This window comes from Homo sapiens, chromosome 4 (genome assembly GCF_000001405.40).
Source record: "Homo sapiens chromosome 4, GRCh38.p14 Primary Assembly".
Taxonomy (NCBI): Eukaryota; Metazoa; Chordata; class Mammalia; order Primates; family Hominidae; genus Homo; species Homo sapiens.
In genome coordinates, this window is record NC_000004.12 from 84,500,037 (window position 1) to 84,515,199 (window position 15,163).

At 39.5% G+C, this 15,163-nt stretch overlaps 2 annotated features.

Annotated features, from left to right (window-relative positions):
* Positions 3,914-3,963: a silencer, noted in NCBI's record as "silent region_15544". NCBI's record gives its function as "represses an Ori minimal core promoter by ATAC-STARR-seq in GM12878 lymphoblastoid cells {active_cell/tissue: GM12878}" and the evidence as "EXISTENCE:reporter gene assay evidence [ECO:0000049][PMID:35858748]".
* Positions 4,044-4,093: a silencer, noted in NCBI's record as "silent region_15545". NCBI's record gives its function as "represses an Ori minimal core promoter by ATAC-STARR-seq in GM12878 lymphoblastoid cells {active_cell/tissue: GM12878}" and the evidence as "EXISTENCE:reporter gene assay evidence [ECO:0000049][PMID:35858748]".

A 15,163-nucleotide genomic window follows, 5' to 3' on the forward strand; every position in this document is an offset into this window, starting at 1 on the left:
TTCCATCTTTCCACCTCCTGCTTTCCTTTTCTGTTCTTTCTCCTCCACTTTATTTTTTTTTTCATTCCCGAGTTCCCCCCCGCCCGTCGCTTCCCACCGCGTTCATTATCATTTATGGGTTACTCAATTCGCTGAAAACTGAATCCGTTTAATAGGAATATTTATCTGTCAGATGATGTTTATACCTGAGAACAGTGAGGGAGTTTTTTCCCTTAACTTTTCTCCCTTTGATTATTGTTGTTATTTCCTTTGGGTTTACATGGGGGTAGAATCATCAAAATTCAGGCGGAAACTTTAGATACAGAAGCATCTAGGTACACCCTGGGAACTGTAAGCTTTTGAAAACCCTCTCCAAAACTCTGGCGCCTACTCCCAATTCTAGAGTTGCTACGGGAGATGGAGATGTACCAGCTCCTGGACAGTGGTGGTGGGATGTCTATCTAGAGTTTAGGAGTTGAAGGGTGGCTTCCTTTACTCTCTAAATCTCTTCCATCTCTGGCTGATCTTTACGTTCCCGACAGGGTTGAACTGCGGGCTGGAGAAGGAAAACCCTTTGACAATTTTGAGAATTCAGCATGTTAAAGTAACACACCATTGGAAGGTGGTCGCTACAGCAAATTTGGATGAGATCATTAATTACAATTTTAATGAGCAGAAAACAGAAATAAACGCAATAAATGGCTCAAGAATAAAATTTGATCAGCACCACCGACGGATGGAGTTTAGCTATTGGTGTCAAAGCGCTCATTTGGGTCCAAGCACGAAAAGCCAGGAGGGCGTACTCCGCTTCGATAACCTTCGTTTACTAAGCACTAGTTTTTAAGGGTCAGCTTGAGTTTGAGTCTGAAACTGGGGGAAGGAAGGGTTATATTTGCCAGTTTTATTTCCTTCTAAGATAGAAGCAATGTTATTTGGTCCTCCTCTTCCTTTATCTTTCTTCATTAACTTCAAGACTGGTTTAAATCTATTATTTCATGGACTTTAGAATCTGACCTGGGGTAAGGTGAAGTCCTTCGTCAGCATGAATAGTGCTAAGGAGTCAAGCCAAGACTTGCTTCAGAAGAGAGCTGATGTGCGGACCTTCTGCATTTCCACGCGGGGATCCAGTGCTTGGGTCTAAACCCCAGCGCCCTGCCACCTCGGCCAGGAAGCTGCGGGAGGATGGTGGCAGGCATAGCCCGTCCTAGCCTTGAAACTGGGGGGCCTATGTCTCTGGCTTCGTTACAAACGAAACGTTTCTCGCCTTCGGACACTCCACCCTGGCGGTGGTACCCAACCTTCAGTCTCCACTCTGCGCCTGGCCCTCCAGCGACCTCCTCACATCCTCCAGGACACTGCATTCTCAAGGACTAGGTAGGAATTGGGAGGAAAAGAGGCCAGTCATCCCCAAAGATTCCAATGTTAAAGAGTGATCCCCTTTTTATCTCATGTAAATATTATGACTCGGAAGAGAGTTGAATATTTCCCTATTGAGAATGTTAGTATCTACTATTGGAGGCGGGGTTGCCAAAGAGAGACACGGGGGTGGGGGAGAGATTGAGACTGAGATTCAACTCAATCCAACTCAGGGTGAACTGTCTTGAGTAAATAGTTGCAACGCTTGGTGTAAGGATGTCTCCATCGTTCACTTTTACGTATCATTTGCATTGCCAAATTAAAATGGCAGCATTGTTCTTAATTATGACAATAAAAAATTCCGGATCCGTGTACCTTGATCCCTGGTAGTGAGGGGGTGAGCCCCGGGTGCTCGATCCCGCGTAGAGCAGCGTGTATTGCAGACGCACGCTGGGCAGCACGGGAAGGCAGGCCGGTGCCTCCTGCCAGGTGCTAGTTGTAGTGGATCTGCTGCCTGTCTACAGCTGGGAGCGGTGACAACGATGGAGCGTCCTCGGAGAGGGTGGGCTGCCCCCTGTCACTCCCGGGGGAAGATCGCCCTGCCCTCCGCTCTAACTGCGTGGTTGAAACCAGTTTCGGGACCCGAGTCCTGGTCCCGCTGACGCGGGAGGCTTGTTTCTGGTGGGGCAGTCTTAACGCATTGCCTTCAGATGCCTTTGAGAGTCAGGACTTGCTCTTTCTTGGGGATCCTCCGAAACCAGCATGCCTTCCTGCCCACGACCTAATAAAGTGGGACTTTTTCAAGTACCCCTTGGGAGTGGACGTGTAACACGTGGTCGCAAGGATCCCGGCGCATCTCTACGCAGTATATCTAATGGGGATGGGGGGGCTCTGTTTGAAAGCAAATGATTTGCATTTTAATTGAAAAATAAATGAAAGCGGTTTGGCAAATTCTGAGGTTGCAAAAAGGGTTTAAAGGGTGGCGGTGAGGAAGGTTCTGTGCTCCTCGACTTTGAGGCTGGAAACAACAGCATTTGTTTTCTGGTTACTGTTTTTAGCTTGCTGGCATTGTTGCCTAGTCTGTGCCGTCCACTTGACCTCTCTACCTGCAGTCTAACCCTTGACGCAGAAATGCCAAGCGCGTTTTGATACTTGTTTTAAGTTAAAAGAATAGCCACCAAATTCAAGGTAACTAACGGAAGGAATGCAAATGAACTCTCAGCTAAACGTACTAACATTCTGAAGGGAGGGATGATAACGGTTTTGCCCCAAATACAGTAATGTCAAATGTCGGGATACTCAAGTGTAGCAGCAGAAAGTCAATTTCTATTCTGCAGAAAAAAAGTGGGTGGGGTGGGGTCGGATGGGGAGAGGAATGAAGGGAATTATGTGTGTGTTTCAGTCCAAAAATCTCTCTAAAATGCAGTTGCTTGAAGTGTCTGGATGACTTCTTTAATAACTCCATTTCACCTGACGAATAGGGCCTGTTTGTGCTGAACCCGCGGGACAGCTGGGTTTAACTGAATGTCATAAAAGGATTGAGCTGATTGCTAGGTAGAAATACAAGGAAGAAGGAAGAATGTCCCCAAGCTTGAACCAACCTACCCTTGAGGAAGGATAGCAGGGCGAGGGGGAGAACGTGTCTGTCTTTCTTTGCTTCCTATAAACGCCGTAGAGTGGAAACTGCACCTTTGCCACAACTTCTGCTGCCCAGCACTTAAGGTAGAGATTTGGGAAGAATTGAAGCAGACAGCGTGGAAAAGCGCCGTAGGATCTTGCGTTCGGCGCTCTCCCAGTGGAGGCCAACACCAAACAAGTGGGGAAGCGACCAGTGTAAACAGCCCCATCCATTCTACCACAGAAAAGATCTCGAAGTCCAGGACCTCCCTCAGCGATATCGTCAGTGAGAGAGAGGATTACAGCTCTCCATAGAGTCGCAGAATACGTACCTGGGAGTTAAGTGCGCTCCGAAGGGTGGCTTCTGAAAGGTCCAAGAAAATGGAAAATACTAAAGTCCAGAAACATCTGCAATACCAAAACCCGAGTCCTGGAATTAGTGTAAATGCGAGAAAACACCAATGAACTACTAGAGAGAAAACTGGCCTTGAACTTTAGCAAAGCACACACCGCCAAAGATTTTATACATATACATATACAAATGAAAATCTCTTTTCATTCGAAAATTAAAATTTCCCCCGGCCCCGCGTGCGCAAGCATTTTCTTTTCAGGGAACCATTTCCTTTTAGGAAACCCACTTGGATTGAAGTACATTCTAAAATATGGAAGCGTGGAATCAAAGTGCTTATAGGAAGGTCTGTAGATTTCCAGAATTTTCTTACAGAATGAAGTGCTAATCCAGTTTGATGCACCAGATTAAAAAGTATCTGATGTGAACAGCCATGAAAAACTTATGTATGTATAAATAACGTTTTTTGAACATAATTTTTTAAACGACTCTGTAAACTTGTTCCTCTTTATATTCCGCTACAAATTGTTGCTTCTGACTTGAGTGTGCCTCAGTGTGTTCGTGGTGGTCCTTCCAGCTGCCGCCTCCTTGTGCAGCTCCTTATTCTTCAGTGAGAAAAAAAGTTATTTTATTTGCATCGCGGCTTGGCTTACAGTGCGGCCATAGGCCCGTTTGATGAAACGCTGAACAGTTATCGCCCTCTTGTGGAAAAAACTTCTTAGCGTTTCACTCTGTCTAGGAAAGACAAGGCTGCTTGGTTCTGTTGACTGCTATACCTCATTTCCTCACTGAGGCAGTCTGCCTTTGTGCAACTGCAATTACATTTGATTAATATCTGCTTAATTTTTAACTGGAATGCTAAATTCATAAACTATGGACATGGCAGCTCTTGCTTAAAGCAGAAAACCCCTTCTAAAATGAAGATTTATATTTTAAATCTTTCTCTCCTACTTCTCTTTGACTCCATTATTTGACTCCAGTATGACAGAACAAATCTCAACTGTTATTGACATTATTCTGGTTTTCTGCTTTTCCTCTCTGATTATCAAAACAGCATATTTGCTCAATACAGAACATTTGGAAAATAGAGAAAATTATAAAAAAGCACAGAGTAACCTACAATTCCACCATCAGTGGCAAACACTCTGATATTTTGGCATATTTGCTTGTTATCTGTTTTCTGGTCTTTATTTTGTACTTTGTTTTAATGATTGAGATCATATGGAGCATATAATATTGCACCTTTAAGCCCATTTTTATAACCTGCTTTATTCACTTAATTGAAGCAAGAACAGATCTGTCTTTGGAATGTCCTGAATCTAACCTCCTGTGAGGTGAAAAGGGCCCTTCCCTGAAGGGCTTGGGAATACCTCACTCTAATAAACAGTAATCTGGTTTGGAGACTACTTCAATGCCAAGATTGCTGCCCTGATTCTTCCACTTACCATTTGCCCCCTTCACATCCTCAAATACTTTGCTATTAGTTCTCAGAATTTTATGATACAAATAGAATAAAAATACCCAACACTGAGTGTTTAGTGTTCCAAGTATTTTACAGTATTAATCCAACAACTCTATGAGTTAGGAACTATAATTGTCCCCATTATAAGGAATAAAATTAAAGCACAGAGAAGTTAAGTAACTTGCCCAAGATCACACAGCTACTAAGTGGGGAAACTGGGATTTAACCTTCTGGTAGTCTGACTGCAGAATCTATTATTTAATCACTAGATTCTACCACCCCTCTGATAACTGAAAAAAAATTAATGCATATGAAAGCCGTCGGAATATTACAAATTGATAAATAAATATAAAGTGAATCCTTGCACATTCCATTCCAGAAAAGAAACTACAATTCACATTTTCTTAGACAATAAAAACATTAAAAAGATTTTAGAATTTATTGAATTCTTTTTAACGTTATTCAAAAAAGAATTTAATTCCTGAAAATAATACTATGCCCTGGTCTACACACAAGTCGAATATTTAAGTTTCAAAATAATTTTAATATTATTTTTTAAATAAATAGACTTTATTATTTAAAGCAGTTTTAAGCATTTAAATTATTTTTTGGCTGGGCATGGTGACTCACACTTCTGAGCCCAGCTCTTTGGGAGGCAACAGCAGGAGGATCACTGAGGCCAGGAGTTCAAGACCAGCCTGGGCAACATGTTAAGTCTCTATTTTTACAAATAATTTAAAAAATTAGTTGGGCTAGTGTGGTGCACACCTGTAATCCCAGCTACTCAGGAGGCTAAGGTGGAAGGATCACTTAAGCCCAGGAGTTTGAGGCTGTGATGAGCTATGATCACATGACTGCACTCCAACCTGGGCAGCAGAGCAAGACCCTGTCTCAAAAACAATTTTTAAAAAATTTTTTTAAATAAATAAATAAATGGAAAAATAGTAATCACTTTTTAACTTTACTTTTTAGTTTTAACATACAATACACACACTTCAGCTTTATATCCTTGTTCCCTGAACCTAGCAGGTTCATAGATTTCTTTCAGAGGTGGTCTAGAATGAAGCTCTAAAAAGCTGTGCAAAGACCAGGTAGCCTTCAGAACAAACCAGTCAAACTTCCTGATGTTAATCATCAATGGAAGATCAGGTCCTTGAGAAGGAAGGAGGCATTTGAAAAGAAGGCCTTACACAATTTAAAATGAGGAAATGTTTATCCCACTTCCAGTCTCCTTATTTTGGGCTTCAAGCTCCCTTTGGTACTTTGAATGGAGAGGTTAAAGGTAAGCACGATTGCGTGGAGACAAAACTTGTTGTAGGAGGAAGGAATTCCTGCAAAGAACCCCTAGTTGAGGATGAGAACATTGCATACGTTAGTTTATCTAGTTTCATGACATTCATTTTCTCACTTTGATTTTCCCTGTGCTATTAGTAAGACTTCGTTTAAATGTTCTAGTGGGATCTAGAAATTGTTCCTGGAAAGTAAGAAGAAAATCTGCCCACATTTGTACCAGAATAGTAAAGGGAGATTTGTGCCCCTTCTAGACTGTCTAGGTGGCTATGAGGGCCAGTTACTTCTGCTCTCCAAGACAGAAATGTTGTCCCACCTCAGGAAGGATTGCACTAGTGAACTACGATAAGTGGCAATTTGTATTTTTCACAGAAATGGACATTCATCTGATAAAGTTAAGAGGTTATAATATAGTGATAACAAGGACTACATTGTTTTTAGAATAGTGGTTCTAACCCTCTCAGAATTAGTGCTACCTTTTCAAAACAATATTTAGCAATGGCCCCTTTACTACCCTGAAACGATATTCATAGGTTATAGAATTTATCTACACATATAATTTTAAAAAATCAATATAGAGTGTTAACTATGACATAAAGAAGTAAAAAGAAAATAATTTATAATATAACATGTACAGTAATTCTATATGTAAATACATAGACTGTCTACACTGAAGACATAATGAAATAATCAGATATACCTATATATAGAGTCTGGTAAATGCAATAACTACAAATACAGGCTGATTAGGGAGATTTAAATTTTATGAGTGGCACTGACTCGATTGTTGATTTTCAGAAATAATGAATAACTCTTAAATGAAACAAAGTGTGTTCTTCCCTTAATGTACATTCCTGGATAATTCAGAATTTATTGAAACTATATAAAATACTTTGTGTTTATATATTAAACAGGGCAAATTCTGGGCTCAACAACAGTAAGTAGGCTTGTCACTTCTATAAATGCCCATTGTGAGATTTGGAAATTTTACTTTGGTGGGAATGTCCCATGCACTGCAGGGCATTTAGCCTCTTTGGACCCTATTATGCCAATTAATTGCCAGTGTCATTCCTAACCAATCTGACCAGCGGAAAGCACCCACAGATTTGTCAAATGCCCCCCATTGAGAATAACTGCTTAAGAACTATAGCGTTTAGGAAGTGTTTTTACATATATTAAATTTACAAAGCAATTTCAAATATAGTATCTTATTTAATCCTCCCCAAAACCTGTGAGGAGGACATTATTACTGTCATTTTAAGAATGAAAAAACTAGGGTTTTAAAGATGATGTGAGAAAACTCAGTCATTCACCGTAGCATATCCTTTTCTCCCAGACCCATCAGTCTGGAGCATAGGTAGCCCAGGTAGAATGAATGATGTCATTCAGCACATGACCCAGAAAACTCCATTACATCTAGTTTGGCTATCTAGTCTAGGACTGTGCATTATAATTGCCATTAGTCACATGTGACTATATAAATTTAAATTAATTTTAAAAAATGACAATGAAAATACAGTTTCTCAGTCACACTAGATGCATTTCAAATGCTCCATAGTTACATGTCACTAGTGGCTACCACATTGGACAGCACAGATATAGAACATTCCTGTTATTGCTGAAAATTCTATTAGACAGCACTGACAGTCTATTTCAATTTTTTGTTAAACTTTCAATTGCCTTCATATGGCCCATTCTTTCCTTCCTCTAAGCTGCTATCAATTTTACACGCACACACACACGTGCACACACACACACTATACTCAGCCCCTTCTTTGCACTTTTGTTTGTGTTGTTCTAGATCCAGAATGTCCTGTTTCTTCAACATTGAACTTATTTGCTTACATATTTGTCTCCCTTGCCAGACTATAACCTTTTTGGGAGCAGAACCATACCTTAATTCGTCTTCGCATCCCCAGTTCTCAGCTCAGTACCTGGCACACCGTCAATGCCTAACATCTACCAGTCGACACCACCCCACATGCATTTTCTTTTTGATCCTGATCTTGCATGGGTGACTGATAATGAAAGTATGTGTGCTGCATATAAAGCAGATGTAGTTACAATTAAACTTCAACTCCAGATTATAAATTAGGTTTAAATGAAAGTGTTTGGCACTTAGTAACTTCGTTTCATGTGCCCAGTACAATTGTGGAAATTTCACAGATATAGAAAGCACAGCTCTTGGCCATGAGCAGTTCTATTGCCATTGGAGAAACTAGGTGCAATATATGAAATGTCAGGATATCATTAGGCATCATTTAGAAGAGTTTGTGATTGAAAAGCATAAACAAAATGTTACGAATTCAGAATTGTACAGTGTTGTTAAAGGGTAGGTCTTGGAAGATAAAACTTTGCTGGAAAAGGTGACTCACTTATAGTGGGTCTTAAAAGAGAAGGAGGATCTGCATAAAGATAGAAAGACAACTGTGGCTCTAGTGAAGAGCATTGTAGGTAGAAAGAAAGCATTTAATCAAGAAATAAATTAATGTGATATTGGCAAGAGAAGGGATGAGACAAAAATACATTTTAGTATTTGCTAAGTGCCTAATCTATGCTCTTGACATAGATGGAGAGGTGAGGAAAGGGCCTTGCTTCATAGAGGCGGAAACTATGAGTTCTGCCTGAAAATATTCACTTTCCTCAAATTTCCCTCTAGTTGTGCCAACTATTTGAGTTCTTTCCATAAGAGTTAGCCCACTATTTCCTGGATCCAATTTTGTAGTACTTGACCACCCACACCTCAATCAGATGGAGGAAAAAAAAAAAAAGCAGAATGCAGGCATAATGGAAGCAGACGCCACAGGATCAGGCTAAGGGAGGAGCCAGAAGCATCCCGCCCAGCCCCATGGGAGAGTTAGATATCAGACACATGGAAATAATGTATCAAAATCGGCAGAATAGGACAGTAACCGCCACAAAGGTAAGAACAGAGTTTTGGAGTTCCCTAAGCCACGCTTGAGAGTCCCACCTCAGGAGTCTAAGCCAAAGACAAATAAAATTGTTCAGATTGCTTAGAAAGCAAATGTCATGTCTTGCAATCAGCCACAGTTCTCAGGTTTTTTTGCCTCTCTTGGGTTAAGATTACCATGTATTAGGATTAAGGAGTCCCAGAATTGTGTGAACTTGGGCCAGCAGGTTATTCAACCGTGACGGACCTAATTTTTCCCTTAAAAATACTGATGAGTGAAAGAGGAAGTTTATTTAGGTCATTCTTATGGTGCATAAAAAGAGGCAATTTAAAGGTAAATATGAGGCAGACTATGGGGCTAGAATAAGGAAACCACTGAGGAAGCCCCGCAGACTCTGAAGAAGGGCACAGATGAAAATAGTGGCAACCAGCTGCTGTGGGTGGACTTCCAGAGGACTTGTTTTCTTGGAAGTTGCTACCTGAGAGCTGCACACTGTTTCTGTACTTGGAGTAGTGCAGAATGAGTGTAATCACCGCTCATTCAGGCACTCAATTTTAATTTCACATCGTTTACATTATGTTGATTGATTACAGCCAAGTCATTCACACAGCATTCATCTGCTCAGCTTTCTAAGGCCCATAACAAGGGGTGGCTCATTCCCTAAGAACTCTCCACAGAATTCCTTCAGAATTATTTATTATTTTAAAAAATTATATTAAAGTCACCAGGTTTTAGAGACCTGCTAAAAGGATGGCAATGTGGTCTATCTGCAATCTGAGTTATTAAGAGATATATGAGCAAATATAAAAGTGTTTAAAATATCTGGAGAAAAAAATCAAAATATGTTCCCACATATTGGATGCAAATCAAGTCCAGAAACAGAAACAATGAGTGACACTAGATTTTTAAAAATAACTTGTATCTCTAAAATTTCTGGACTATAGTGAGTAGAAAGAGTGCCATATTAGGAGTTAGAAAGCCTAGATTCTAGCACTCATAGTCTGATTTTCCTCATCCTTATATAGATGAAAATATATGTCTACATAAAAACTTTTACGTTAATGTTGATAGCAGCGTTATTTATAATAGCAAAAATTAGAAGCGATACAAAGGCTCATCAGCTGATGAATAAATAAAATGTGGTCTATCCACACAATGGAATATTGTTCATCAATAGAAAGGAATAATTACTCATCCATGCTACAACATGCATGAACCTTGAAAACAATACTCTAAGTGAGGAAGCCAGTCACAAAAATCTGTATATTATTTCATTTATGTGAAATGTCCAAAATAAGTAAATTCATAGAGATAGAACATAGATTAGTGGTTGCTTGGGAATGGGACAGGGCCAGAGTGGTGTGGGAGCAGAAATGGGGAGTAACTGCTAATGAGAATGGGGATTCTTTGGGGGATATTGAAATGTTCTAAAATCAGATTGTGGTGATGGTTGCACAACTCTGAATATGCTAAAAAACCCTGAACTGAGTACTTTGAATGGGAGAATTTTATGGCATATGAAATATAGCTCAATAAAACTATTTTTAAAAACTAGGGATTGTGAAAAATACCAAGAATATGAGTGTAAGCACCCCATAAAGTGTGCAATGTTCTATATGGTAGGAGTCACTATTGTCTTCACCTAAGGAAACTTGCTGGGAGAGGAAGTGGCAAATTGCCGGTAACTAAGGGAATAGACCCCAAAGGAGAAGGACATGGGAATGACTGCTCTATAAAAGTAAGAATGAATTAAAACATCATAATAAGGCAATGTGAAAAAATGACAGCACTTTAATTATTTTTCCTTCCAGGTTTACCTTGTGTGTCATACTCTAAACAAGATGTAATTGGCTTGTAGAAAATAACAAATACGCATTTTAGATACTTTTTTTGTTTCAGAGTCACAAAGTCCATAAATCATTCCTCAACTGTCCTAAAGACAAAAGATACGCAGAGGATTCAAGTCAAGAAATGTTGATGTCCTACTGGGTGTTAATTCTACCTCTTAATCAAGATCTGATTATCAAAAAGGACAACAGAACATTAAAATGCTATAAAGATTTGAAATGTTTCAGTCTTCTCCAGAATTCACACTGTAAATGTCCTCATTATGACATTCACCAGAGCAACAAATTTGAGATGTTGCTGCAAAAATTCTGTAGAGCAGAATCTTTGCAAATTATGATGAATAATCCAAGTCCATATACTTGCTCTATAAAGCTCTGTAATATCAAGGTACTCCAACTCTGCTTCTGCTTCCTCAAAAACATACTATTTTAAAGAACAGTAAAAGGTAATTAAAAATAGTTTATAGGTTAATCATACTTGGTCTTATATTTGTCTAATGCAGACACTGGTGTGCTGGTGTTATAGCTGTTAGACATTATCATGAGCCAAAAAAATGAATCAGATATTTAATGGAAATTTTCTTATAAAATTACAAAAATGCAAGCCAATAATACTAAACTATAATAAAATTCTGAGCAGTGATACTACGGTGTTTTTTTTTCCCTGAAGGAGTAGGTATTCTATAAAAGAATGCTTAAATACTATGGTCATTCTGTTATAAATAAATATATTTCATAGACTGTTCTACATAGCTGATAGATGAATTTGCTCTGTTTCATCATTTCTGTACATTAACGGCATGGAGCAAGAAGCGAAACTCTAGTTATCACTAACCAGTTCTGTCTATATCAAAATTTAAAATTCCTTACAGCAGAAAAGTCAGAAGCTTAAAAGCCTAAATAGTTAACAGCAGTAGTTTCCGTTCTACGTAGCACTATGGTGCTTTACAGATTATTTCTCTTTAAAAGTAAGGCTTTGTCTTTGGTTAAAATGGAAAGTCCCTGGAAAGGCTGAGTAATATGCCTTATCAATTATGTGAGTCAAGGTGTAATGAGTTTAGCAGCTCCTTACCTGAGAGCAGGCTTCAATGATGCTAGCAGGGTACTGGAGTGCCCTATGACTACACTGAACTTCTTAGGGCCGAGAGAAAGGACCATGGTGGAGCAAGGGGGTCTTCACAAAAGGTTGAGTAAGAGTAACCAAGTTGCTTTGATAAGATTTACCTCAGATTAATAAAAGGGAGAACAGAATCACAGAGCCTTCAGAGGCTACTTCAGCTCAGGGAGTTAGCAGGTATATATAAGGAACTAGAAATAGAAAACCTTTGTTTCTATTTGTTTCCCAAAGTTACTAACATAAGCATGCTCATTTTTTGTTTTCCCTCAAAGCCTAGTAGTTCTATACCCTTATATTTAGGAACAGCAAAAAGGGGTGATACCTGCGAGACTTCCTACCACTTGAGCCGGTCTTGGGGAGAGCTTATCTCCAAGCAGAGCCTATCACCTGGCATGTGTGTCCGTGTGTCTGTGTGTCTGTATCTCTCTGTGTCTGTGTGTACTGAAGGAAGCAGGAACACAGTACAGGGAAGCTACTTGGCCTGGAGCTTCCACACACAAAGGGCCTCAAATTTACACTTTGGAAGTTGTCTCCAAGAAAGAATATGCACATAATCACATATAATCACATACGCTGACCAGTGGAAAGAAAAAGACAATCACCATTTGATTTTAATCCCATGTCCCACGATCCAACCACATAGCCTGTGTAAGATCTACATTAATATTTTTAATAAATCCTTTAATTATCCCATGAATAATAACAATGCATATGTTAAAAGTGCTAAATTGCTAAATAATTCTTATAATCTTATTCTGAAATTCATTTATCCATTAATATACCAGGAGCTTTCAAAAAATGGAAGTAGCTTATGTCCATCCCAAGCTTTGAGAGGCTCTGATACTGAGAAATTGGATGGATAATGGCCACTGCTAAGAAGAGAGGAAAATAAACTTAACTCCTTTGGGCCTGCAGTTATGGAAAAAGGGGAACAAAGAACTGCCCTGGTATGAGAAGGGACCTGGGAATCTTCAGTAGAAAGCTCCTTATGAGGTTCACTGGCATTATTGTTTAGCCACTACATCACAAATCTACTTCTGTTTAATTATTCTAATATTTTTAATGCAACTTTTTTTATTTGCTATGTCCACATAATCCAGAACATCAATATAGACTATAGTCTTGATCTCAAATCAGCTAGGCACTGAGAGTTATAACAAAAACTATTAGGTCCCTTCTTGAAGGAGCCTACCGATAGCTTGATCATTACAGGTAAGAAGATAACTAGCAATACAAGGCAATGATTAACTCATAAGCACCGTGCTGGTGGCCTAGTCAACAAGAACTATGGATGGGAGTTCATTCAGAAGAAAACTTCTGATCAGAGAGAAAGCTGCGGGTGAGACAGAATTTCATCTAAGTTGGGCCTCTTCACTTTTGACTGTGCGTGTGTGTTTTCCTCTAGACCGGATATTCTTGTGCATTTTTGTAGAAAGCCAAAAGGAAGAAAATGAAGACAAAAACGGTGAAGATGCTGGAGAAAGACAGGATGATTGAATATCCAGGAGGGTGAGAATAGGTGGCAAGGTAAGCCTTTCCTTGGAGTTGAAGGAATGGAGGCAAGGTATAGAGAAAAACAGATGTTTAGGGTAGGAGAACAGAGGGGCTGAGGCAATTCATCAGGTAAATGGGAAACATGCATTCAATGGAAAGATTCAGGAAAGAGTTTGTAACATGAAAAGGGAGAAAAATTCAAGAAATTGTTAAGATAAATATGTGAATAGATTAAGAAGAGGTGAATAAAAGAGGTACTTAGCAGCAGTGCGGAGCTACCCAATTGCCTGTAAAAACTTTCACAGGATTGAATGGCTGTAACTCCAGCAGTGTCCCTGGCATCACTTTTCCTGAGCTGGAACCTGGAGTCTCGTTTGATTCATGGATGGTGAATAATGTGGCCAATGCTGTGAAAGCAAAGAGGTTGATCTTTGAATTCTTTTTCTTATTGGCCTGCTACCTGGTTCCTATCCTTTTAGGGTGGAGACAGGGGCTTGCTAAAGAAAGACTCTCTACATCAGCCTCCCCTTATCTCAGGCTTTGCAGAAGATGTGTTGATGTTAGTCTGCCCTTGCGGTAGATATTTTTTAAGTGGCTTATGGCTATAACCATCTCTTCCACCAGTTAAAATACAGTTTCTATTTTTACTTTTATTATGTCCATACAGATTACAAAGTAAAGCTGTTTCCTAAATTCAGAATTGGTGACAAAGGAGTTATATTTAAACCTATCACTCAGCAAAAACACCTATTGGTTTTACCTAAAGAGCTTAGTAGTATAATAATGACTTAGGGGCCGGGCAAAGTGGCTCACACCTGTAATCCCAGCACTTTGGGAGTCCAAGGCGAGTGGATCACCTGAGGTCATGAGTTCGAGACCAGCCTGGCTAACATGGTGAAACCCTGTTTCTACTAAAAATACAAAAAATTAACCAGGCTTGGTGGCACGTGCCTGTGATCCCAGCTACTTTGGAAGGCTGAGGCAGGAGAATCGCTTGAACCCAGAAGGCAGAGGTTGCAGTGAGCCAAGATCACACCATTGCACTCCAGCCTGGGCAACAAGAGCAAAACTCAGTCTCAAAAAAAAATATATATAGTGACTTAGGATTGAGATTCCTAATATCCTTTCATGTGCAAACTCTGATTCTTAACTAAGATTCAATTAACAGGAAAGAAGATGTAACATAAAATTAAAACTCTATAATGGACTTGCATTGCTTTAATCTCCATACTTAATTGACACTAAATAGTTTACTTGCAGAAGAGAGATTCTGAGTACTATGTTTACACAGTACACTGATTATGATGCATAGAATTTTTTTGTAATAAAAAGGAACAGATTAATCCATTCTGTGTGACCGTAGCAGCCTACTGTGAACCACCCATTTATATCACTTTGTCGTGACCTTTGCTTCAGAAGCCTGACTGGCAAAGTAGTGCAATGGGTGCCCCTTTCTATAGTTAAGAAAAACTGCCAGTTACATACAAAGATATATTTTCCTGTCAGTTGATTCAAATGCAAAAAAAATACAGTCACCCAGATGACTACAGATGCCAAGTCACAAATTTGATTAAATTCTGAATGAAGCGAAGCATCATTCAGGCATAAACAATGCACAGCCAAGACCAGTCCTACCTCCTCTGTCAATAAGTATCGAACTCTCACTGGAAATTTTACCTGGAGCACTTACTAGACTCGCCAAGCAGAGGGTGATGTGATTTATATTTTTAGCCCTGACTA